Genomic DNA, 25,951 nt, shown 5'->3' with positions numbered 1-25,951 from the left:
CTTGCTCCCAGTGAAGCCTGGTGGTGCCTTGGCCACATGCATGCCTGTTCATCCACAGCTCTTCATCCACGGCCCTTCATCCACGGCTTTTCATTCACAACTTTTCTTCAACAGCTCTTCCCCCACGGCTCATCCACGGCTCTTCACCCATGGCCCTTCATCCACGGCTCTTCACCCATGGCCCTTCATCCACGGCTCTTCACCCACGGCCCTTCATCCACGGCTCTTCACCCATGTCCCTTCACCCACGGCTCTTCACCCATGTCCCTTCATCCACGGCTCTTCACCCACAGTCCTTCATCCATGCCTCTTCACCCACGGCCCTTCGTCCATGCCTCTTCACCCACGGCCCTTCGTCCATGCCTCTTCACCCACGGCCCTTCGTCCATGCCTCTTCACCCACGGCCCTTCGTCCATGCCTCTTCACCCACGGCCCTTCCTCCATGCCTCTTCACCCACGGCCCTTCCTCCATGCCTCTTCACCCACGGCCCTTCCTCCATGCCTCTTCACCCACGGCCCTTCCTCCATGCCTCTTCACCCACGGCCCTTCCTCCATGCCTCTTCACCCACGGCCCTTCGTCCATGCCTCTTCACCCACGGCCCTTCGTCCATGCCTCTTCACCCACGGCCCTTCGTCCATGCCTCTTCACCCACGGCCCTTCGTCCATGCCTCTTCACCCACGGCCCTTCCTCCATGCCTCTTCACCCACGGCCCTTCCTCCATGCCTCTTCACCCACGGCCCTTCGTCCATGCCTCTTCACCCACGGCCCTTCGTCCATGCCTCTTCACCCACGGCCCTTCGTCCATGCCTCTTCACCCACGGCCCTTCCTCCATGCCTCTTCACCCACGGCCCTTCGTCCATGCCTCTTCACCCACGGCCCTTCCTCCATGCCTCTTCACCCACGGCCCTTCGTCCATGCCTCTTCACCCACGGCCCTTCGTCCATGCCTCTTCACCCACGGCCCTTCGTCCATGCCTCTTCACCCACGGCCCTTCGTCCATGCCTCTTCATCCACGTCTCTTCACCCACGGCCCTTCATCCATGCCTCTTCATCCAAGTCTCTTCATCTACGCCTCTTCAGCCACAGCTCTTGCCTGGTGGGCTTCTCACAGCAGGGCAATGTCTTGCTGCTGTCTGCCAGGGCCACCTTCAACACCTGTCTTCTTGTTTCTAACATGTACTTTCTAATAATCTCTTACTAAGTCTATCTTTATCAACTCTGGCATCCATTCAGTCCTCTGCACATTTTTGAACCAGAGACAACCAAGAAAAGCTTCTTCAGCTCATACTGTAAGCTTCAGCCCACTCTAGAATTGGCCTTGTGAGTCTGGTTTTAATATAGAAACTGTTTTGTAGTCAGTCGTGCATCCTCAGGCTGCACAGGGCCCTGAAGCCCACTCCTCCTCTGGACCAGACAGTTCCCTGCTGGCTCCCAGGCGCCCAGGTCTGCTCTCACTCGCCAGGGGAAGGGACACTCGGACCCCTGGGAACCCAGTTGGCTTGGAGCAGCTGTCTGGGCAGGAAGGTTGCACAGCGGTGCTTCAGCCACCACTGTACGTCCCAACACTGGGAAATGATGAAGGTCTAAAATCTGCCTGTATCTGTATCTGAGTTATGGAAAAGTTGCTTTTCCTCTTCTGTACTCATTCTGACTGAGTTTGGATCCATTTGCAGAGCCTGTGTCCACCCCATTAAAACCCACTTGTCTCTTCCACATCTGCCAACCCCTAGGCTGCTGCTGGACACCCACGTTGTTGCACAGAAGCACCACTGTCCACTGACTGTCCACCTCCAGCTCATGTCCTTTCCAGAGTCCACTGCTCTCCTCTAAGTCTCTGGCGCCCTCTCAGTTGGTACAGAGTGAGCGCTGAGACTTCCTGCCATCCACAGTCAGGACCTCCCTCCTGGGTCTCCTGGGTGTCATGACCTTGGGTTTGCCTCCTTCATGTGCATTTGATCATCTGGGTCTCCACCCCGACTTGGCCTGCTGAGTCAGACCCCATGTCCCTGCCTTATTTGGAGGAAGGGCTCTAGGCCGGGTAGCCAGCCCAGGGACCCAGGCACAGGCTCAGAGTGATGCTACTGGTGCCATTCTCAGGGCTGTGGAGAGCTGATTTTCCTCCCCGGGCAGCTGGGCTGGGACATGGTTTGTCTCCTGTTAAATTACTCCATCTTCTCTGTCCATACCCTTCTCTGGTCACAACCAACTGAGTCATTCATTCATTTACTCATTTATTCATCTAAGCACCTACTATGTGCCAGACACTAATCTAGGCACTCAAGGTAAATGATGAACAAAATCGACAAAAATCTCAGTCCTCATACAGTTTACAATCTATTAGATGAGAGAGAAATACACAAAATAAATAGGTAAAATACTCAGAATGGTATTCAGGCATACATGCTAAGGAAAAAAAAATATATCAGCTCTAGTCAGCTGAAAAATGGCCCCAAAATATAGGTCTATGTCAAATCTCTGGAACCTGTGAATACAACTTTATTTGGAAAAAGGGTCTTTGCAGATGTAACTAAATTAAGGATCTGGAGATGGGGAGATCAGTGTGGATTATCCAGGTGGGCCCTAAATGCATTGATGAGCATCCTTATAAGAGACACATGGGGGGGAATTCCAGTTCTTTAATGATGGCATAGAAGCTGGCTTCTCCACCTGCCCCTGCCCCCATACAGAATGAACAACAAATACATAGCACCAAGAGTATCACCGGCAATACCCAAGAACTCAAATATGAGGAGGAAAAAGATCGTGCAACCACAGAAAAGTGAAAAAAACTCCAAGCCGACAGTAAGAGAATTGGACTTCCATATTCACGACATCCCTCTCCCCAAAACTGCCCAGCACAAAGGACACGGAAAATGTCCCCCTGACTCACAGTTTCTACGCTGGAAAAAGTGAGATTGAGGTGGACAACCAGCTTCCTCACTCTCTTAGGTTTCCTGGCAGGAGATCTGTCCCAGCCTCAACCCACAGGAAGTGCTGCTAGCACTGCTAGCACTGCTAGCACCTGAAGGGAAAAACAGCCTTAAGGCCAGCAGAGACAAAGCGGGAAGGTAGGACTACCAACCCCAGCTCTGGAGACTCTGTTCTGTAACTCAGCCAAAGAAGATGTCAAATCAGTGTGGCAGTTCAGCAGCACCATGCTGTAGGAGGTTTGTTCCACACCTTCCCTGGGCACAAACTGTGAGCCAGCCTTCCCACACTACCAGGATATTCCCTCTGGGGCCTCCCTCATTTGGGATGGTTGGCACTCTGACTGTTTACTAGAGCTGAGGCAAACCTGGGCTTAAGGAATCATCTAGTGTTGAAAAGAAAGCAGCAACATAGTGAGGTGGCAGGGAGGGAAGAAAGAAAATCAATAGATAAATTACAAGGAGTCTCTAAGCAAACAAATCTAATAAAAGCCAAACAAGCCAGACAGAGAAGACTGGAATAAATAATTAACCCTTCAGTGAAAAACTATAGATGCACATCTATGGGAGACAACAGCAAACAGAAAACATGACCTCCTTAAATGGACAAAGCAAGGATCCAGTGACAGACCCCAACAAGACAGTGATATGTGAACTCTCTGAACAACAATGCAAAATTGCAGTTTTAAGGAAACTCAGTGATCTCCAAGATAACACAGAAAAACAATTCAGAAATGTATCAGAGAAATGTAACCAAGAGATTGAAACAATAAAAAAACAAACAAACAGAAATCTTGGAACTGAGAAATACTTTTGCTGAACTGAAAAATTCATTAGGGCCTCACAAGAGATGAATGGATTAAGGAGAGGAAAGAATCAGTGAGCTTGAAGACAGGTTATTTGAAAACACTGAGTCAGAGGAGAAAAAAGAAAACAATGAATAAAAAGGAATGAAGATCACCCAATACCAGATACAGAAAATTACTTCAAAAACCTGAACCTAAGAATTATTGATGTTCAAGAAGGAGTTGAGCAAGGGCAAGGAATAGAAAACTTATTCAAAGAAATAATAACAGAAAACGTCCCAAAACTAGAGAAAGAGATAAACACCTAGGTACAAGAAAGTCTAAGAACACCAAACATAATCAACCCAAATAAGACTGTGCCAAGGCATATAATAATCAAACTCTCAAAGGTCAAGGACAAAGAGAGGATCCTAAAAGTAGCAAGAGAAAAAAAGCAAATAATTTATAAAGGAATTCCAATTTGTCTGGCAACAGACTTCTCAACAGAAATCATACAAGTCAGGAGCAAGTGGGATAACATTTTCTAAGTGCTAAAAGAAAAAAAAAAGGTCAGTCAAGAATACTGTATGCAGCAAAGATATCCTTCAAATATAAAGGGGAGATAAAGTCTTTACCAGACAAACAAAAGCTGAGAGAATTCGCCACCATCAGACCTATCCTACAAGAAACGCTAAAGGTAGTTCTTCAATCCAAAAGAAAAAAACATTACTGTGCAGAAAGAAAGCACGTGAAGGTATAGACCTCACTGGTAAAATTAAATACATGGACAAATCCAGAATACTATAATACTGTAATTGCGGTGTGCAATGCATTCATAACTTGAGTATGAGGCCCAAAAGACAGCTCTATCAAAAACAGTAATACCCACAGTGACTTGTTAAGAGATAGGCAATATAAAAATCTGTAAATTGAAACAACATAAAGTTAAAATGTGGAGGGGGATGGAGTTAGTGTAGAGGGTTTTCATTTTTCCTTTGTTTGTTTCTATTCTTTGTGACATAAGTCTTCATCTCTTTAAAATAATAAAACATCCAATATCTATAAGATATTTTTGTAGCTTCATGGTAACCACAATGCAAAAGTTTATAAGAGATTCACTAAAAATTAAAAAAGCAATAAATTAAACATACTACCAGAGAAAATCACTTAGCCACAAAGGAAGACATTAAAAAAAAAAAAAAAACGAAAATGGGAGTTACAAAACACCTAGAAAACAAGTAACAAAATGGCAGTAGTAAGTCTCTACTTATCAATAATAACATGGAATGTAAATGCACTCAATTTTCCAATTACAAGGCACAGAATGGCCAAATAGATGAGGAAACAAGATTAAACCATATGCTGCTTACAAGAAACTGACTTCATCTATAAAGACACAAACTGAAAGTCAAGGGTTGGAAAAAGATATTTGATGCAACTAGAAACAAACAAATATCAGTAGTAGCCATACTTAGATAACATAGGCTACAAATAAAAGACTGTAAAAAGAGACAAACAATGTTACTATATAATGATAAAGAGGTCAATTCAGAAAGAGGATATAACAAGTTTAAATAGCTATGCACCCAATACTGAAGCTTCCAAGTATATAAAGCAAACATTAAACAGATCTAAAGGGATAGCAGGGGACTTCAACACTCCACTTTCAGCAATGAACAGATCATTCAGACAGAAAATCAACAAAGAAATGTGGGAGTTAAACTATGCACTGGACCAAATAGGCCTAACTGACATTTATAGAACACATCAGCCAGCTGCTGCAGAAATACATATTCTTTTCAGCACATGGAACATTCTCCAGAATAGGCCACATCTTAAGCCATAAAACAAATCTCAACAAGTTCAAAAAAGTATAAATCACTTCAAGTACCTTTTCTGATCATAATGGAATAAAACTAGAAATCAATAACAAGAGGAATCTCAGAAAATACACGAACACATGAAAACTAAATAACATGCTTCTGAACAACCAATGGATCAATGAAGAAATTAATAAGGAAATTTAAAAAATAATTGAAACAAATAAAAATGAAAATATACCAAAATCTATGGGATATAGCAAAAGGGAATTTTATACCAATAAATGCCTATTTCAAAAACGTAGAAAGATTTCTAATAAACAACTTACTGATACACATCAAGGAACTAGAATAGCAAAAACAAACCAAAGCCAAAACTGGTGGAAGGAAAGAAATAATAAAGATCAGAGCAGAAAGTAAATTGAGACTTAAAAAATAATACAGAAGATCAATTAAACAAAAAGTTGTGTATTGAAAAGATAAACAAAATAACAAGTCTTTAGCTAGACTAAGAAAAAAAGAGAGAAGACCCAAATAAATAAAATCACAAACTAAAGAGGAAACAACAACCGAGACCACAGAAATACAAAGAATTATTAGAGACTGGTATGAAGAACCATACACCAATAAGTTAGAAACCTTGGAAGAAATAGATAAATTCCTAGACACATACAACCTATCAAGAGTAAACTATGAAGAAATAGAAAACCTTAACAAACCAATAAAAAAATAACTAGATTGAAGATGTAATAAAAGGTCTCCCATCAAAGAAAAGCCCAGGACCCAGTAGCTTCAGCGATGAATTATACCATGCATTTAAAAAACTAATAACAATGGTACTCAAACCTTCAAAATATTGAAGAGGAGAGAATACTTTCAAACTCATTCCATGAGGCCAGCATTACCCTTGTACCAAAACCAGGCAAGCACACAACAAGAAAAGAAAACTACAGGTCAATATCCCTGATTAACACAAATGCAAAAATTCTCAACAAAATACTAGTAAATTGAATTCAACACGTTAAAATGATCATTCACCATGATCCAGTAGGATTGATCCCAGGGATGAAAGAATGGTTCACCATACGCAAATTGGCACATGTAATACATCACATTAAAAGAACCAAGAAAAAAGACTGCGATCATATCAACAGATACTGAAAAAGCATTTGACAAAATTCAACATTTGTTTGTGATAAAAAACTGGGTTTAGAAGGAACATACCTCAAAATAATAAAGGCGATATATGACAAACCCACAGTTAACATCATATTGAATTGGGAAAATTTCAGAACCTTCCCTTTAAGGTTTGGAACTAAACAAGGATGCCCATTTTCACCACTTTTATTCAAGCATAGTACTGGAAGTCCTAGCCAGAGCAATCAGGCAAGAGAAAGAAATAAAAGGCATCCAAATTGGGAAGGAGGAAGTTATATTAGTCTTGTTTGCAGACAACATGATCTGATAGTTAGAAAAACCTAAGAACTCCACCAAAAAAAAAAATGTTTAGAACTAATAAACGAATTCAGTAAAGTTGCAGGATACAAAATCAACATGCAAAAGTCAGTACTATTTATATATGCCAACAGTGAACGATCTAAAAAAAAATTAAAAAGCAAACCCATGTATAATAGCTATGAAGAATATAAAATACCTAGGACTCAATTTATCTAAAGAAGTGAAAGATCTGTAAGATGAAAACTATGAAACACTAATGAAAAAAATTGAAGACGACACAGAAAATGGAAAGATACTTCATGCTTATTAGTTGGAAGGATTAATATTGTTAAAATGACAATACTTCCCAAAGGAATTTGCAGATTAAATGTAATCTCTATCAAAATACCAGTGATATTCTTCAAAGAAATAGAAAAAAAATCCTAAAATTTATATGGAATCACAAAAGACCCCTAATAACCAAAGCAATCCTGAACAAAAAGAACAAAGGTGGAGGCCTCACACGACGTGACTTCAAGATATACTATAAAGCTACCGTAACCAAACCAGCATGTTACTAGCATAGAAACAGACACATAGACCAATGGAACAGGATAGAGAACCCAGATATAAATCCACACATTTACAGTGAACTCCTTTTCAACAAAGGTGCCAAAGACATATGATGAGGAAAGGATAGTCTCGTCAATAAATCGTGCTGGGAAAACTGGATATCCATATGCAGAAGAATGAAACTAGACCCCCATCTCTCACCACATACAAAAATTCAATCCAAATGGATTAAAGACTTAAATCTAAGACTCAAAACTATAAAACCACTAGAAGAAAACATTGCGGAAACACTCCAGGACATTGGTCTGGGCAAAGAATGATCTTGTGTAAGACCTGGAAAGAACAGGCAACCAAAGCAAAAACAGAGAAATAAGATTACATCAAACTAAAAAGTTTCTACACAACAAAGGAAACAATCAACAGAGTGAAGAGACGACCCACAGAAAATGTTTACAAACTATCTATCTGACAAGGGATTAATAACCAGAATATATAAGGAGCTCAAACAACTCAGTGGCAAAAAAAAAGCAAAAAACCCAAATGATCTCATTTAAAAATGGGCAAAAGATCTGAATATATATTTCTCAAAAGAATACATACAAATGGCAAACAGGTTTGTAAAAAAATGCTCAACATCACTAATAATCACAGAAATGTGAATCAAAACCACAGTGAGATGCCATCTCATCCCATTTAAAATGGCTTTTATTTTAAAAAAGACAGGGAATAATAGTTTTTGGTGAGAATGTAGAGAAAGCAGAACCCTCATTCATTGTTGATGAATATACATTATTTTTGGTGGAGTTCTTAGGTTTTTCAAACTATCAGATCATGTTGTCTGCAAACAAGACTAATATAATTTCCTCCTTTCCAATTTGGATGCCTTTTATTTCTTTCTCTTGCCTGATTGCTCTGACTAGGACTTCCAGTACTACGATTGAACAAAAGTGGTGAAAGTGGGCATCAGTACAGCCACTATAGGCAACACAATGGCGGTTTCTCAAAAAAATAAACATAGAACTACCATAAAATCCAACCTTTCCACTACTGTGTATATCTCCAAAAGAAAGCAAATCAATACATTGAAGAAATATCTGCACTCCCATGTTTATTGCAGCCCTATTCACAATAGCCAAAATATGGAATCAATCTAAGTGTCCACCTCAATGGATGAATGGATTAAAAAAAGTGGTACTATATGCAGTGGAATATTATTCAGCCATAAAAAGAATGAAATCTTGTTATTTGCAGCAACATGGATGGAACTGGAGGTCATTATGTTAAGTGAAATAAGCCAGGCACAAAGACAAATATCGCATGTTCTCACTCATATGTGGGAGCTTAAAAAGTGGATCTCATGGAAATAGTAGATTGGTGGTTATGAGAGGCTGGGAAGGGTATAGGGGACTGCGGGATGAAGCGAGGTTGATTAATGGATACAGATGTATAGTTTGATAGAAGAAATAAGACTGAGCATTAGAGATCAGTAAGGTGACTATAGTTTTCAGTAATCTATTGCATATTTCAAAATAGTCATAAGAGAAATAATTTGAATGTTTCTGGTATAAAGAAAAGACAAATATTTCAGGTGATGAATAGCCCATTTACACTGATTTGATATTTACAAATTATAATTGCATTCAATTATCATATGTACTCCAAAAACATATTCATCTATTATGCATAAATTTGAAAATAATAAACACTCATATAAGGAGACACACAGAAGAGATCTGACACACAGATCATGGGAGGTGACGTGACCTGAGATGCAGAGATCAAAGTGTTGGTGCCACAGACCCTGAAGCCAGGAGCCCCCAGAAGCTGGGAGAGGCCAGACAGGGTTTCTCCCCTGGCAGCTGGGAGAGGCCAGAGAGGGTTTCTCCCTTTCCTCATCTGGCAGGGGAGGAAAAAGGAATGTCCTGGCTGGGTGTGGGATTGTAGGAAGTGAGGGAGGGGGCGGGCTGATGCGGAAGGAGAACATTCCAGAGGGCACAGTGAGTCCCAAAGCCCCAAGCGGGGTGGCAGGAGCCAGCCTATCTGAGGAGCACCTGGGGCCATGGAATTAGAGTGGCGAGAACAGGGGAGGTCGGAAAAATTGGACCAGAGAGGAAACAGAGGTCAGGTGGGACAAATTCTTCCCTCAGAGGGTGCGGGCTGTGCAGGAACAAGGGTGGCCCATGGACAGCAGCTCCTCCAGTAGGGAGTGTGGGAGATAGATAGCCACTGAGGAGGGCGAAGGGCCCAAACAGGGAGCCAGGAGCGGGCTCAACAGCCTCTGCTTGGGTGCCCTCAGCCAGGCAGGGGCCAGCCTGGCCCCAGAGGCACAGGCTCACCTAATTGGCAGTGTGGGCCTTTCCATCATCAGGGGGATAATTGGACCCTGGAGTCCCTATGCTCATCAGAAAAAGCCACAGTGGTTTCTCCCCAGTGCCTCAGGCAGCCCACTTCTCAAGAGCATGTTCAAGGCTCGTCTGGTCACTGTGGCCAGACTGGGAGTTGCTGGACACAGGCAGAAGCCACTCTTCACTCCTGCAGGCAGCTGCAGCCGTTTGCAGTGAGGCTTCCAGACGCCCCAGGTAGGATCCAGCACTTTCCATGTTGCCGATGGGCTCCTTTCGCTGTGATTTTAGGGTACGTTGTATTCCTTGCATGGGGAGAGAGCTCTTCTTTTATGTGTGTGATTGACAATCCCCACTCCACATGCCCCCCACATACAGTCTGGAGCAGGGACTCCCCTCTGCAGTCTCACGGCCAGCACCAAGCAGGATGGCTCATGGATGCTCCATAAATGGCCCTTGCATTTTTGAGTACTGTGCTGGGTACATATTCACAGGCATTGGGTTATGCCCTGATGTCTAACATCATACCCAGAATCAGCCAGCAGCCTCAGGTGGCTGAATGGGGCAGACAGCATTTGCTCACTCATCATTGACGAGGACTGGTTCTGGGTGGCTCTGCCAGGCACCAGGGAAGGCATCAGAGTAAATGGCTGCAGGCTGATGGTAGGTGCAGCCGGGAGGAGCTACTGCAGTACCCGTCTCACGGACCACCCCAAAATACATCCGTTCTGTGGTACGGAAAGCTTCACTTTCCTCTCTCAGATTGGAGACCTAGGTTTGAATTTGTGACTGGGCAAAAACAGTCTTTGTAACATATTGGAGAACCTTGTTTACGATGAGAGGATGCCAGCCTCCCTCGGCAGCGTCCGCTTGGACTTTCAGTCTGTCCACAGAAACCAGGGAGGTACAGCCAAGTTAAAAAGGCAGCCATGCCCGCAGCGATGGGGTACCCTGGAACAGAAACGGGCATTCGAGGGAAAAAAAGATGAAAGCCAAAGTCTGGAGTTTAGTCCACAGTAATACCAATATCAATCCCTTACTGTGACAAATATACCCTCTTCATGTAGGAAGTTAGCCTTGGAGGAAGCTGAATGGAGGATCTCCCAGAGCTCTCTGCACTCTCTTTGTAACTTTTCTGTAAATCTAAAATTATTCCAAAATAAAAAGTTTATTTAAAAGAAAATGCAGCCATTGTCTAACAAGTTCAGGGGATGGATAGAGTGTGCTGTAAAGGGCCCTGAATTTGTAAAGTAACACAGTTTCAATTTAATGAATCAATCCGGTATTAACTAGCCAACTCACTAATGATCAGTTACCACTATCCAAATAATCAAGAGAAATCTATAGGTGCCTCTACTGTTCTGGGTTAAAAGCACAAGAACCAAAGCTCACTACCCCCACCGCCAGCTCTCCCCAGCAAACCCAGTCAACAGGTGGGGGCTGCTGGCCTTCCAAGGAGCTCCTGTGGACCCCAACTTTCCTCCTTGTGGACTTTAAAGCCCCCTGTGGCCACTCAGCTGGGAAGAGGACACAGTCACCACCCTGGATGGTGTCTAGAGAGGCTACATTCAGACTCACATCTTGAGACCCCTTTAATGGCAGGGGTTCTTATTGCTTTTGTTTTGGGGAGACAGTAGGCGGTGACTGGAGTGAGTAGTAAATGCTTGTGAAATTGATCCTAAACTCTGAACTGCACGCTGGCATTTTAAGGCAGGGAATGGCCATGCCGCCCCAGTGGATGATCTTGGGTTCCCACAGAATGCTCACCCTAGACGGCAGGAGTACAGGTGCGTTTCCAAGTGTAAACCTGTCCCTGGGCAATTCCCTTCTAGAAGTTTGTTTTTCAGCCTGCAACTCTTCCATGAACTCGACTTGTCTAGCCAACCCCCTACACGTCACCATGAGGCTCTCCAGTAAGTGCCGCGCACCACGCCTCCCCAGCACAGACTCCAGATTATTCGGCACCCACCTGGCCCTCTCCTAGTCTTCTCATCAATTTTTAGCATCCTGGGCCAGAAACCTGGGGTCACCCTCCCCAGCTGTGAGCTGGTGGAAGTCTGCCATTCAACCCACCTAGACTGCCAATGAAAAGAACCACCAGATGCCCTGTGGGGCAAGGGGCTGTGGCTACCCTCTCTCTCCCCCACCTGTGGACCAGGTCCCCCAGAGCCAGGCAGCCCTTTCCTGGGAGCCCTCCCTGCATTCCTCCGGCTGGTTAGCCCAGTTTGGGGTTCTGCCCTGGTAGGCTGATAGCCCCTCACCTCATGCCGAGGCTGCTGCCCCGACTTGCAGGAACCCTCAGATGAAGGACCCTAAGGAGGGCCAGCTCTGTGTCCATGCCCACTTGGATCTTGAGAGCTGCCCCAGGCACGTGTGGACTGGTAGTGCCCCTGGACTCAGAGCTTTGGGTTTTGCCCACCCTGGAGCTGCCCGGCTCTGTTCCTCAGCATATACTCTCTTCCTCATTCCTACTTCATGGTTATATGTAAATGCAAGCACACAGAAGTTTTCTACTTTAAAACTCAGAAGATCAGCAGATCACTGCTCTCTCCTGGTGCTCTGGGGAGCCACGTGGCCTCTCTTTGCACCAAAACTCCCCATCCAAGTCCAGCTCCACTCTCTCTCTGCCTCAGCTGCCCTGCAGCCCTTTCCTCTTGCTCTTTGATGTTTTGTAGGCCTGCAGCTCCCAAGCACAGAGGCATGAGTGGGGAGAATGTCACCAAGGTCAGCACCTTCATCCTGGTGGGCCTCCCCACGGCCCCAGGGCTGCAGTACCTGCTCTTCCTCCTCTTCCTGCTCACCTACCTCTTTGTCCTGGTGGAGAACCTGGCCATCATCCTCATCGTCTGGAGCAGCACCTCCCTCCACAGGCCCATGTACTACTTTCTGAGCTCCATGTCTTTCCTGGAGATCTGGTACGTGTCTGACATCACCCCCAAGATGCTGGAGGGCTTCCTCCTCCAGCAGAAACGCATCTCTTTCGTCGGGTGCATGACGCAGCTCTACTTCTTCAGCTCCCTGGTGTGCACCGAGTGTGTGCTTCTGGCCTCCATGGCCTACGACCGCTACGTGGCCATCTGCCACCCGCTGCGCTACCACGTCCTTGTGACCCCGGGGCTGTGCCTCCAGCTGGTGGGCTTCTCCTTTGTGAGTGGCTTCACCATCTCCATGATCAAGGTCTGTTTTATCTCCAGCGTCACGTTCTGTGGCTCCAACGTCTTGAACCACTTCTTCTGTGACATTTCCCCCATCCTCAAGCTGGCCTGCACGGACTTCTCCACTGCAGAGCTGGTGGATTTCATCCTGGCCTTCATCATCCTGGTGTTTCCGCTCCTGGCCACCATACTGTCATATTGGCACATCACCCTGGCTGTCCTGCGCATCCCCTCGGCCACCGGCTGCTGGAGAGCCTTCTCTACCTGCGCCTCTCACCTCACCGTGGTCACCGTCTTCTATACAGCCTTGCTTTTCATGTATGTCCGGCCCCAAGCCATTGATTCCCAGAGCTCCAACAAGCTCATCTCTGCCGTGTACACTGTTGTCACGCCAATAATTAACCCTTTGATTTACTGCCTGAGGAACAAGGAATTTAAGGACGCCTTGAAAAAGGCCTTGGGCTTGGGTCAAACTTCACACTAAGACAACTAAATGTCCTAGAGTAAAATCTGTAGTGATGAAACAACATTGTATGTGGCACTTTGTGCTCTTTAAATTAATTTTTAAGTTAAATTTAACAAACCTACAGAACTAAGTGAAATTTAACAAACCTACACAACTGTGCACAAGTAACAAGCCTTCGTCTGCATATGTTTTCACAAAAGGACTGTGCTCATGGAACCAGCTCCCAGATCAAGAACTAGAAGCTGCCTTCACGCCCTCTCCCAGTCATTAACCCTTCTCCACAAAAAGCACTGTCCTGACTTCCAAAACCAGATGCTAGCATTGGTGTTTCTGAGGGGCTTACACATAAAGTATGTGCCCTGTTATGTTCAGCTTCTTTCATTCACCGTGTTGCTTGAGTGAATCCTTGATGTTTTTGCATGTAACAATAATTCATGCATTCTCATTGCTATCCAATATTCATAATAAATAATACATTTATACTGTATAATACACAATGCATAATACATTCATACTGGGATAATACATATACTGGGATAATGCATATACTGTATTGTGTATTATATATACATAATACATTATGCTGGGTGAAACCCTGTCCCACCTGTCCCAGCAGGTGTGAGCCACTGTGCTCATCCATAATTTATGCATCTAAACACAGATAAGGTAAGTCAAAATATAATGTCATAATCTTATGGGACCACCATCTTATGTGCCGTTCAGTTCATCATTCACCAAATGTCATTGTGTGGTGCACTACTGCGTCAGTTGAGAATATTTGTGCTGGCTTATTTCTGGATCCTCTGTTCTGTTAAATTGATCTACGTATCTATCAATATCACACCCTCCATCCATACAACACAGTCTTGATTTATATGATTATGTAGTAAATCTTAACACTGGAAGAGTGACTCCTCCCACTTTATTCTTCTGCTTCAAAATTATTGTGGCTATTGTACAGCCTTTATATTTTTATATAAATTTTATAGTAAGCCTGTCAATGTCTACAAGAGAACCTCGCTGAGATTTTGCTAGAAATTCCATTAAACCTAAAAATCAATTTGGGAAGAACTGACTTCATTACTCTGTTGAGTCTTTCAATCCATGAACATAGTAAACCCCTCCAATTATTGAGGTCTTCATTCTTTAAATCAGTGTTTTGTACTTTTTAATATGCAGATTCTGTGTGTGTTTTGCTGGATTTAGACCTAAATATTATATTTTCTTTGAAGCAACTGTAAATGGTATTCCATCTTTTATTTCAGTTTCCTTCTGTTTGTTGTTAGTACATAGGATGCAGCTGATTTTCATATGTTGACATTGCAGCCTGCAAACTTGCTGCGCTCACTCATTAGTTCCAGGAGGTTTTTGTAGATTCCTTTGGGTTTTCTATGTGAACAGTCATGTCAACTAAAAATAGACAGTTTTATTTCTTCCTTTCTGATCTGTATGAATTTCATTTTTTATTTTTTGCCATACTGCATGGCCTATTACTAGAACTTCCAGTGCTCTGTTGAATAAGAGTGGGCAGAGCAGATATCCTTGCCTTGTTTCCTCCTTAGAAGGCAAGCATTCAGTCTTTCATGATTAAGTACAATGATGCAGAGTTTTCACGCATGTGCTTTATCAAGCTGAAGCAGCTCCCCTTTAGTCCTTATTTGCTGAGAGCAGTTTTTGTTTTTATCATAAATGAGTATTTAATTTTGTCAAGTGATGCAGAAAACTGCATCAGGCAATCTGGTCATAGATTTCGTCTTTCACCTGCTGGTAAGGTGTATTACATTGGTTGATTTTCAAATACCAGATTAGCCTTGCATCTTCTGAATAAACCACCTTGGGTTGTGGTGTATGATTCATTTCATATAGTGTTGGATTCAATTTGCTAACATTTCGTTAAGGATTTTTGTGTCTAAGTTCACGAGAGATATTGGTCTATTGGGGTCTGAAGTTATTTTCATGCTGTCTAATATAGTGTGGACGTCAAAGCGACCTCCTAGAGAACATTCCTAGCTCTCAGAACGTTCTAGCTGGGGAGGGAAAACGGAAAAAGGGGGGCGAGAAGCGGAGGGACGGGGAAGTATATAGTAATACTTCCCTTGAACCAGTAAAACTGTAATGCCCAACCTGGTTTTTACTAACTGTTTTCAGACTCTCCCTTTTCCTTTAATCACCTAGCCCTGTTTCCACCTGAATTGACTCTCCCTTAGCTAAGAGAGCCAGACAGACTCCATCTTGGCTCTTTCACTGGCAGCCCCTTTCTCAAGGACTTAACTTGTGCAGGCTGACTCCCACCACATCCAAGAATGCAATTAACTGGTAAGATACTGTGGCAAGCTACATCCGCAGTTCCCAGGAATTTGTCCGATTGATAACGCCCAAAGCCCCGGGTCTATCATCTTGTAATAGTCTTAAAGCCCCTGCACCTTGAACTGTTTACTTTCCTGTAACCATTTACCCTTTTAACTTTTTGACTACTTTACTTCTGTAAAATTGTTTTAACTAGACCCCCCCCCCTTCCTAAACCAAGGTATAAAAGTTAATCAAGCCCCTTCCTCGGGGCTGAGAGAATTTTGAGCGTTAGCCGTCTCTCGGTCGCCAGCTAATAAAGGACTCTTAATTCGTCTCAAAGGTGGTGTTTTTCTAACTCGCTCAGGTACAACAAAACATCCACGCAAACAGGTTGTGAGAAGTTACGTCTGCGTGCTGTGATACCTAGAGGAACCACTACGAAAACTATACATAATGATATTTCCCAAGACATTATCAGTAAATCAAGATGGAATTCTAAAAAAATGTACTGTATCCATTGGAAGGCACAAAAAAAAAAAAAAAAAAAAAATGCAAAGGAAACAAGGCAAAAAACAGCAGACATGAACCCTAAAGCTTGTTAAATGGATTTCAGGTGCCCTCCAGGATCTAAAAACCAGACCCTCCTGCGTTGGGGACCGGGAATCCGTATTTTTGACAAAAAGCAATTCTTCAATTATAGAAACATCCATAGAACCGGCCGTAGTTTACACAGCTGCATTCCCACTGTTTTACAATCGCATGATCATTTCTGAAAAGTTGAAAACAAAGTTAAAGAATATTTAAGGGGTTAAGAACAAAAAGCCTGGGGAACACAAAAGATTATAAAAACCCTTCCCAACAGCAGGCATACTTGGAAGGAAACCTCACATGCAAGGCTCCTTCGTGGAGCCCAGAGCCCAGGTCCTGACGGGAGCACATTTTAAGAGATGGACTTGCCGGCGCGGTGGCTCACGCCTGTAATCCTAGCACTTTGGGAGGCCGAGGCGGGTGGATCACGAGGTCAGGAGATCGAGACCATCCTGGCTAACATGGTGAAACCCCGTCTCTACTAAAAATACAAAAAATTAGCCGGGTGTGGCGGCGGGCGCCTGTAGTCCCAGCTACTCGGGAGGCTGAGGCAGGAGAATGGCGTGAACCAGGGAGGCGGAGCTTGCAGTGAGCGCGATGGCGCCACCGCACTCCAGCCTGGGCGACAGAGCGGGACTCTGCCTCAAAAAAAAAAAAAAAAAAAAAAAAAAAAAAAAAAAAAAAAAGAGATGGACTTGGAGCGTGTGCTTTTGTTTTCTATGCTATTCAATGTGTTCACAGCAGGTCCCCTGGATGAGACCACTTAGCCTTCAGCTCCGGAGGCGACCCAGGCCGGCCTTGCCAGGTCCCTCTCCCTGACAGGCGCCCCGCGACAGGGGTCCCACCCCGTCCCTCCGCTCCTCGCCCCCTCTTTTTCCACTTTCCCTCCCCAGCGAGAACGTTCTGAGAGCTAGGAATGTTCTCTAGGAGGTCGCTTTGACGTCCACACCGCGCCTGGGGGATTCTGCGGGGAGCACAGGACCCTGGGACGAGACGCAGAAGTCGCTCCACGCCCTGGGCGGCCTCAGCTCCCGCGACACCGCAGCAACTCAGAACCCAGGCAGGGGCCGGGCAGCCAGCATGCTGCCCCCACGTTCACCTCCAACTCCCACCTCTCGGCCCTCGCCCCAACCCGCAGGACCCTGGCAGCGCACTGGCTGTCTCCGCGGAAGCCCCCGAGGGCCTCGGCGCGGCCCCGCCCCCTGGAAGGTTCCCGACAGGCGCCGCGGGCACCCCGGCCGTGACGTCACGGCAGCGCGCCGGCCGCGAGAGAGGGCCCCGTCGCGACCGCGTCCCCTTGGGTCCTTGATCCTGAGCTGACCGGGTAGCCATGGCCTTGCGGCTCCTGAAGCTGGCAGCGACGTCCGCGTCCGCCCGGGTCGTGGCGGCGGGCGCCCAGCGCGTGGTGAGCGGGCGGCGGGGTGGCAGGGTGGCGGGGTGGCAGGGTGGCGGGGTGGCGGGGTGGGGAGCAGTTCCACATCTCCCCCGGCCTCTGGCGGCGGCTCCCAGGTCGCTCTCCGGGTGGGTTTGGGGGACCCCTCCTGCCTCCGGAATTGTTTGGTCTTTGGTCGTGGACAGACCTCAGGGGGCCACGAGCTTCTCCAGGCCATTTTATCTCAGCTTTAAGCAAAACGCTGGAGCGCGGAGGTGATCAGGGCCCCGAGGCTGCCCTGATGCGGGAGGCCCGTGTGCAGGTGGCAGGCCGGGGGCACACGCGCTTGTCATTAGATAATTCACGTAGCAGCCCTGTCAAGAGCCGTTTAAAGGTCGGGCCCTGCTGGGTGCTTGGGTGATGCCATGTTGAGCAGACACGGAGTTCAGTGCTTGTGTCCGCTTCCTTTTGCCTTTACTCTGACTGACTACTCTCATTTCTTAGCATTTTGCCCCCACCTTCTTCAGTGAAATCGTTTCATACATTTGTAACACAGTTGGATTGCTTTGTCACATTCTGCCTTACATCTTGGGATCCTTCTACCTAATGCGTTTTTTAAAATGTGCATACATTGAGCGCATTCTTTGTGCTATAAGGTTCTATGGATTTTTTCTTTGTGCTATAAGGTTCTATAGGTTTTGACACGTGTGTAATAGCATGTCTCCACCATTATAGGTTCGTACAGAGTAGCTTCACTGCCTTAAAAAATTCCCCTCTGCTTTACCTATTAAACCCTTCTTTTTCTCCAACCCCTGACAACCACAGATCTCATTAACATTTCCATAGTTGCCTTTTCTGGAATGTCATATAATTAGAATCATACAATATATTGCCTTTTCAGACGCCTTGAATACTTGGAAATATCTATGTAAGATTCACTTATGTCTTCGTGGCTTGGTAACTCATTTCTTTTTAATCACTGAGTAATATCTCATTGCATGGATGTACTTCAATTCATTCAGCAATTGAAGGGCATCTTGGTTGCTTCAAGTTTTTGGCAATTATGAATAAAGCTGCTGTAATCGTGTACATGCAGATTTCTTTTTGGAAATACATTTTTATATCATTTGGGTAATACCTGGAAGAGCGATTACTCATGTAGTAAGACTAGTTTTCTAAGAAGCTGCCAAGCCATCTTCCAGAGTGACTGTGCCATTTGACTCCCACCAGAAGTGAAGGCTCTCCTTGTTGCTCTGCGTGCTCGCCAGCATGCGGGGCTGTCGGTTACTTTGGATTGCTATCCATTCTGATAGCTGCGTAGTGGTATCTTGTTTCAACTTTGGAATATCTCATGATATACAGTGTTCATCTTTTCATATACTTATTTGCTATCTGCGTTAATTTCATTTGCGAGAGGTGTTTACATCTTTTGCCCATTTTTAAATTGGGTTGTCTGCTTTGCCTTGTTTTGTAACTTGTTTCTTCCTTACTCTTCAGTTATCAAATCAAGATCGAAAAATATCTTGATATTTCATATTCTCCTGTTTTATTTAAATTTCACTATAAAGTATTTTAATATTTTTGTGTTTTTCTGAGTACTTAGTATTCCATAATATGGATATGCCTTAATTTTGTTTAACTATTCCTCCGTTGTTGGACATTTAAGGGTTTCTATTTGCATTTTTGGTGTTACATCATACTTCATTGAGCATCCTTATAGGTCAATCTTATGTATATACTCTTTGAATGGATTCCTAATGCTGTAGACCCAGCGTCCTCTAGGTTTCATTACCATTAGCAGTTTAGGATGGTACTCATTGTCTTGTCCTAACTCTGTAATCATTTTTTAAATTATTTCTCATTTTGACACATGAAAAACTAATGTTTCCTTGTTAATAGTCTTTTGTTTTTTTGTAGCAAGGTTGACCACTTTTTCATGTGGTTTTTGGCTATATTTTATAATTTTAAAATAAGCTGTGTGTTTTTATTCTTTGTTTTCTTATTGTTCTGTACAATTTCTGTATATAGTAAGGTTATTACCCCATCATATCTGTTGAACTTCTTCAGTTTGTTTTACTTTTGGTTATGTTTCTTTTCTTTTTTTGGAAGGAATGTTCCCACTTTAGTGTGGAGAGTAAATTGGGCTGCTGGAGACAGGCATTGAAGCAGGTCTTTGCCTTGTAGATGAGAGGTGTGAGGGTGCCGACAGAGTCAGCACATGGCATAGGGAGGCGATGCAGTGTCCAGAGAGTCTGAACAGTTAGGATTTTGTGTGTAATTCTGCAGTTGAAGGAAGGAGAAAGGTATCAAAGACGACACTCAAATTTGCTCTCTTTTGCTTGTTAGGTAGTGGATATTCCTTGCTGTGAGGGAAAGCAGACTTGGGGGCTAGGATATGGATGTTGCATTTCACCTTAGCTCTGTTACCTTCAGGTGCCTTCAGGACATCTAGGTGGAGCTGTTTAATAGGCAGTGGGGTAACGAGGTCAGGACATGGGGACAGAAGCTTGGATTAGAGAAATGTTTTTTATTCCCTTCCCTTCACTCCTGAGCTTCCCTCCATCCCTGTCTTTCTTCCTCCCGTCTGTCCGTCCATCCATCCATCCATCCACCCCTCCCTCCCTCCCTCCAATTTTTATTGAACATAGTAAACATATTTAATAAAAATTTCAGGCATTGTTCCAGGGCCTGAGGATTTAGCAGTGAACAAACAGACAGTATATCTGCCTTTAACGAAACTTACATGGACAGAGTGGTGGGGGATAGACAGATAATTAAACAAATTAATAGGCAATAAAGATGTAGATGTTGGCATTTTTATCACTAAGAGGTTTCTTGGTATTTTTACCTAATAGTTACTAATGCCTACAGGAACCAGAGTGGTCACAATGTGCTGCTGTGTGATTTTGTGTTTTTCAGAGAGGAATTCATAGCAGTGTGCAGTGCAAACTGCGCTATGGAATGTGGCATTTCCTACTTGGGGATAAAGCAAGCAAAAGACTGACAGAACGCAGCAGAGTGATAACTGTAGATGGCAATATATGTACTGGAAAAGGCAAACTTGCAAAAGAAATAGCAGAGAAACTAGGTATGATTTTATGTTACACAGAATGATACCTTTTTCTCAGATATATGGTTGCTTATTTCACTGGTTTTTCTTCAATATTAATATTAAATAATATTAAATATTTAATAATTGGGCCTAAGGTGGGTATTTCACATTTTTGTTTATTGAAAAAGCTGTTTTATAAAACGAAACAAGAAAAAGCTGTTTTTAATCTTTTATGTTTGGAAAATTTGTGAAAATCCATGCTGGTTGTCAATTTGAATTGGAATTTTATGTGGGCAGTGTAAGCAGGGCACTTCCACATAAACTGTCGTGTTTGAACTTTGTGACAGCCTCTGAAATAGAGCCGAGGATGGTACTCACTCACAGATGGGTGTACTCCTGAGTGAGCAGATGCCACATAGCTGGGTCCCAAAGCCAAGGTTAGAGCCCCTTCCTGACTCCTGGTGCAGCTGAGTGTCCATTGTACCTTTCTGTAGCACCTGCATGACAGCAGCTGCCCGCTAGAGGGGGCTCCTGTGGTTACAGGGAGCAGTCCTTTCAGGAGGAACCTGGATAAGGGCACTGTGCAAGCTCTTTCGCTCACATGCTTGCTTGTATATGTTGTGTGTTCCCTTCATACGTGATGAAACCCAGGCATGTAGGTGACTTTCTCTAGGTCATTGGCTCCATCCCTGGCGGTGAGATTCGGGCGGGCTGTGTGTTTTGGCTAGTCCCCACTGCTCCCTGCGGGGAGTGAGTGATGTGCATCAGACTGCATCCGACTGTTTCTCTTTTCAGGCTTCAAGCACTTTCCTGAAGCGGGGATTCATTATCCAGACAGTACCACAGGAGATGGGAAGCCCCTCGCCACCGACTATAATGGCAACTGTAGTTTGGAGAAATTTTACGATGATCCGAGAAGCAATGATGGCAACAGTTACCGCCTGCAGTCCTGGTTGTACAGCAGTCGCCTGCTGCAGTACTCAGATGCCTTGGAGCACTTGCTGACCACAGGTGCAGTATTTCTGGGCAGTTAGATCTGTTCTGTACTTGAACACTATTCTAGAATTCAACCACGTTAAATTGCCACTGAGTCGAGCTTTCCTTTAAGGGTGTTTGATGAGGTGAGTTCTGTCTTTCCAACAAGATCATGAATTTCTTGAGATTGTGTTATTTTTGCTTCAGAATTAATTTAATGCTGTTTCACTATGGATACTGGAGTGAGATTTATGGATTGTATAGAATTCTCAAGGCACTACTTTAAGCTTCTATACTTACATATTCATTTATATATGAAATGTGTCAAAACAAAGGGGTAAAGAGAGCACAGAAGTGTCCAGGAGGAAACGGGATCACACTTATGAAGACTGTGCATGTGCCATGCAGACAGAGATGTGGATGCCAACAACATAGGGTTGTCCCGGAGGGCCCAGAGATAGGCCGGAATCACCATAAAGCCACGAGGCAGACGTGAATCTTGATAAGATGACGGGGGGAGGCAGAACACACAGGGTCCCATAGGCCAGTGCAGTAGGGGAGGATGCTTCCCTTGAAGGTATCCAAAGCAGAAAGGAAGAGCTGTGTACTGGGGAGCCTGGGAGACGGAAACAGGGATCAGAAAGTATAGTTAGGAGAGGAAGGGAAGGTGGATGAAAGGGCATGAACATGGACTACTTGTGTGCAGAATGAGGTTAGGGTCCAGCGACGGGTTACTGTAATCATTCTGGGAAACAGCAGTGCATGCTAGACATCCTGAGAGTTGGACCGCAGATGCACTGCCAATTTTTGGTCAAAGCTACCATGCCACGGCGGTCCTCAGTTCACAGGTAGCAGCAAATGGCACATCTGTGTGCGGAGAGAGGGAGATGGGTGGACTCTTAGGGCCTTCGTGTCTGTTTTATATTGCAGTGCTTGCTGCTTTCGTTGATTGGCAGTGCCCCTGATGAGCTTCTCACGCACAAGCTCAGCCGCCACTAGGGTTGGCTTCATGGGGTCTGAGCCGTGAGAACAAGAATGTGGTTTTCACTGGGAGTGGCCGGCTCACAGGCTTCTTCTCAGAGCTGAGCTAGGAGCCGCTGCCTATGCTCCTTCAGGTCTCCACGGATGCAGTGTGTGTCCATGACACGTATCTACACAGTTGTACGGTGGTGGAGTTATTGTCTTGCTTTGAAAAAGTTGAAAACATTTTATTAGTGCTTCTTTTTTTCTTATATGAACGTAAACCCTGATCTTGGTTAGTGTTACTCCTAAGAAAACAATGTGGTCTGCTGTTTCTGGTTTGAGGTTCTTTACCAGGAGCCAATCCAGGAGCTGATGTCGTAGCGTGGACTTCACACTGACATCCAGGCTTACTCCACGTTCTTTTTTTTTTTTTTTTTTTTTTTTTTTTTTTGAGACGGAGTCTCGCTCTGTCGCCCAGGCTGGAGTGCAGTGGCGGGATCTCGGCTCACTGCAAGCTCCGCCTCCCGGGTTCATGCCATTCTCCTGCCTCAGCCTCCCAAGTAGCTGGGACTACAGGCGCCCGCCACTACGCCCGGCTAATTTTTTTGTATTTTTAGTAGAGACGGGGTTTCACCGTTTTAGCCGGGATGGTCTCGATCTCCTGACCTCGTGATCCGCCCGCCTCGGCCTCCCAAAGTGCTGGGATTACAGGCGTGAGCCACCGCGCCCGGCCTCCACGTTCTTTTTAAAGCATTCTTCAACCCTGTCTTCTGACTACTCATTTCTTAAAATGAAAAAGAAACATTTTACTTGTTAAATAAAGCCTTGCTTTTTTTGGTGCTATAGTAACCTATTTCCCATTTAGAAAAAAAAAGTGCAGCTTGCTCCCATCTCAGTATTCTTGGGGCAAATTGGAACTGGGTTAACGTATTCATTAAATATTTAGTGCATGTCTGCTGTGTGCCAGACCCATTCTGGGAGCTAAGGGCGCCACAGGGAGGGAAGCCTGTGTTTTAGTAGAGGGATGAAGACTCGATGTGGAAACAGGAATGTCTTGCCCCAAGTGAGTGGTGGCTGCTCTGAGGAAGGAGGCTGTGGGGAGAGGCTGGGTAGGAAGATTAGGGGAGGCCTCTGCCCAGACACAGCAGGGCTGACTGCAAGGAGGCTGGCTGGGGACCCTGGGGACTAGTGCTCTGAGCTGCACAAGTGTCCGTCGGGGCTGCTGTGATAGTAACACAGCCAGTGAGGCTGGGAGTGGACAGAGGTGAGGTTGAGAAGTAGCCCAACATCAGTAGATCTGACTGGAATGGTGGGGGCAGGAGCAGGATGGGGGTGGGCACTGTAGGGGTGGAATACGTTATTTAAAAACAAGCACTTTTTGTATTAACCGGATGCTTTCTGTTATAGCTGACTTAATGAAACGATGTTATATTGCTCAAAACTGAAAAGATACTTCAGTTTTTGAAAATGGTTTCCCACTTACAAATATGTCTATGTTCTTTTCAGTATTTTGGTGTGGAAATGGAATTGTAAATGATTGTTATTTTCTTTTCTCTGGAATGCAGTGATCAGTTGACAGTGCTTTGCTATCTGTCTGATTTTCAATTTCTGTTTGCCTATGTTTAAACAGGACAAGGTGTTGTGTTGGAGCGCTCCATCTTCAGTGACTTTGTGTTCCTGGAGGCGATGTACAACCAGGGATTCATCCGAAAGCAGTGTGAGTCAGCATTGCAGACCCACTTCTGGGTGTGTGGTGCGACTTTGCAAGGGCTGTGATAGACTCACCTTGCACTTACTGTGTTTATGAATGTCTGTTAGATAGATGAATAAATGCCATTACTTAATCGGTCTCCGCTGGAAAAAGGAACTTCCTAAGTATCTTCCACCCTTTCTCCCTCCTGAAATAGGTGTCTTTTGTGCTGTCATGTCTCCCTGTGAAAGCAGATTGGAGCCCTGGACCTCAAACACACGCAGCTTAAAGTGCAGCCCCCACAGCCTCCCGTTAGAACCTCCCCCGCTCTTAGCTTGCCCTAGCAATACCTAGGCTGTAGCTCTAATTGTAACAGACTTTCCAGTTTCTAGTGTGTGATTTTGATGAATTGGGATGTTAGCCCTGCCAGTTGCCAGCATCATCACAGTGCTTCCCTCTGACACGCTGCCGTTTTTCAGGACAGTAGCTTTGTGTTGCTGTATTGGGGAAGGTCTGACAAGTGGCAAATGGAAAGGAACAAAGACCCCCTGGTTTGAAGCAGGCTGACCTTGAGGAGTCAGGGTGGGGTTGGGGTGTCTGTGACTAGGACTGTGTTGGGCGGTGGGTTGAATAGGCCTGGTGGACAGTCTGACTGACGGCATTTTCATCTGTAGACTGGGGTGGCTGGAGCCAGTGGAAAGCTGGAATCTGGGAGCTCAGAGGAAGTACTGTTGATTAATGAAAGAGGAGGCCGAAGCAAGCCAGGTGACCATTCTGTGGAGGAGGCGCCTGCTTCTGGCTGCTTGTGTGTCCTGGTGTTGCCGGTACTCCACCTGTGAGCTTGCCGCCCGCAAGAGCACTGCAAGCCCGTGCTTCTGATAGGGGCTGATCCTCCCTGGACATGCTGAGCAGCGGGTCAGGTCACCAGCAAGTGTTTCTGGAGTGCCTGTGGTGTGGCAGGCTCTCTTAGGTGCTAGGGATATGAATATGAAGAAACTTAAGACAAGGCTCCCACGGGCCCGGGGTTGGGGGCTGTTGAACCAATGGGGATGGTTCATTGTAATAAAGTGTACTTAGCACTCCTGAGCATTACTCCTGGGTGCTTTGGGGGCACATAGGAGAAATGTGTAACCGGCTGGGAGATGGGATAGTGTCAGGGACAGCTGTTTTGATGAATGGCCTGTCATCTGTAGCGCAGTGGGAGTGAGGGACGTGTGGGGATGGTGGAGAAGCCTGCGTGTGCCACAGGCTGGTGGTGGTGTCCTATAGTGAGGGCTGGGTGCTGGGGGAGAATGATGCTGGATGAGGCTGCACGAGGAAGGAGCTGCGCCTCGGCGAGGATGCTTGGCTTCTGTCCTGAAACTAGTGAGGGACCACTGGAGGATTTTTAGCATGGCAGAGACATGGTTAGATGTGAGTTTAAAATGGTTGCAGGCCTTCATCTGAAGGATGCATTTGGTGAGGAGAGACGGAAGGGGAAGGAGCCTATCTGGGAGGAAATTGGGGTGGGAC

At 45.2% G+C, this 25,951-nt stretch overlaps 2 protein-coding genes across 10 annotated transcripts in view, besides 4 other annotated features; both read left to right on the top strand.

Annotated features, from left to right (window-relative positions):
• Positions 1-12,589: 12,589 nt before the first annotated feature.
• Positions 12,590-13,528, top strand: OR6B2 (olfactory receptor family 6 subfamily B member 2). Its single transcript, NM_001005853.1, has one exon. The coding sequence runs from the start codon at positions 12,590-12,592 to the stop codon at positions 13,526-13,528; it is 939 nt and encodes a 312-aa protein (NP_001005853.1).
• Positions 16,853-17,682: an enhancer, noted in NCBI's record as "H3K27ac hESC enhancer chr2:240964754-240965583 (GRCh37/hg19 assembly coordinates)". NCBI's record gives its function as "activates a minimal SCP1, AML or CMV promoter by ChIP-STARR-seq in primed H9 embryonic stem cells {active_cell/tissue: H9 hESC(primed)}" and the evidence as "EXISTENCE:reporter gene assay evidence [ECO:0000049][PMID:30033119]".
• Positions 16,853-17,750: a biological region, named in NCBI's record as "H3K27ac hESC enhancer GRCh37_chr2:240964754-240965583".
• Positions 17,491-17,750: a silencer, noted in NCBI's record as "silent region_12505". NCBI's record gives its function as "represses an Ori minimal core promoter by ATAC-STARR-seq in GM12878 lymphoblastoid cells {active_cell/tissue: GM12878}" and the evidence as "EXISTENCE:reporter gene assay evidence [ECO:0000049][PMID:35858748]".
• The window catches only part of NDUFA10 (NADH:ubiquinone oxidoreductase subunit A10), a 132,901-nt gene continuing 124,626 nt past the window's right edge, over positions 17,677-25,951 (top strand). For 8 of the 9 annotated variants that reach the window (NR_136158.2, NR_136156.2, NR_136155.2 and 5 more), the window contains exons 1-4: positions 17,677-17,792; positions 20,679-20,847; positions 21,607-21,822; positions 24,380-24,466. Coding sequence is in view for 5 of the 9 variants with exons in the window: in NM_001322020.2 (NP_001308949.1) it covers positions 17,718-17,792; positions 20,679-20,847; positions 21,607-21,822; positions 24,380-24,466 (547 nt within the window). In the remaining 4 variants the exon portion in view is untranslated. The remainder of the gene's footprint in view (positions 17,793-20,678; positions 20,848-21,606; positions 21,823-24,379; positions 24,467-25,951) is intronic. The other variant, NR_136157.2, reaches the window with a different exon arrangement.
• Positions 21,494-21,543: an enhancer, noted in NCBI's record as "active region_17393". NCBI's record gives its function as "activates an Ori minimal core promoter by ATAC-STARR-seq in GM12878 lymphoblastoid cells {active_cell/tissue: GM12878}" and the evidence as "EXISTENCE:reporter gene assay evidence [ECO:0000049][PMID:35858748]".

Source organism: Homo sapiens, chromosome 2, assembly GCF_000001405.40.
Source record: "Homo sapiens chromosome 2, GRCh38.p14 Primary Assembly".
NCBI lineage: Eukaryota > Metazoa > Chordata > Mammalia > Primates > Hominidae > Homo > Homo sapiens.
Note: the sequence above shows the minus strand (reverse complement) of the source record. Positions and strands in the feature narration are given on the sequence as shown.

Coding starts and splice junctions, on each gene's coding strand:
- OR6B2 (NM_001005853.1), top strand. CDS start 12,590: ATGAGTGGGGAGAATGTCACCAAGGTCAGCACCTTCATCCTGGTGGGC.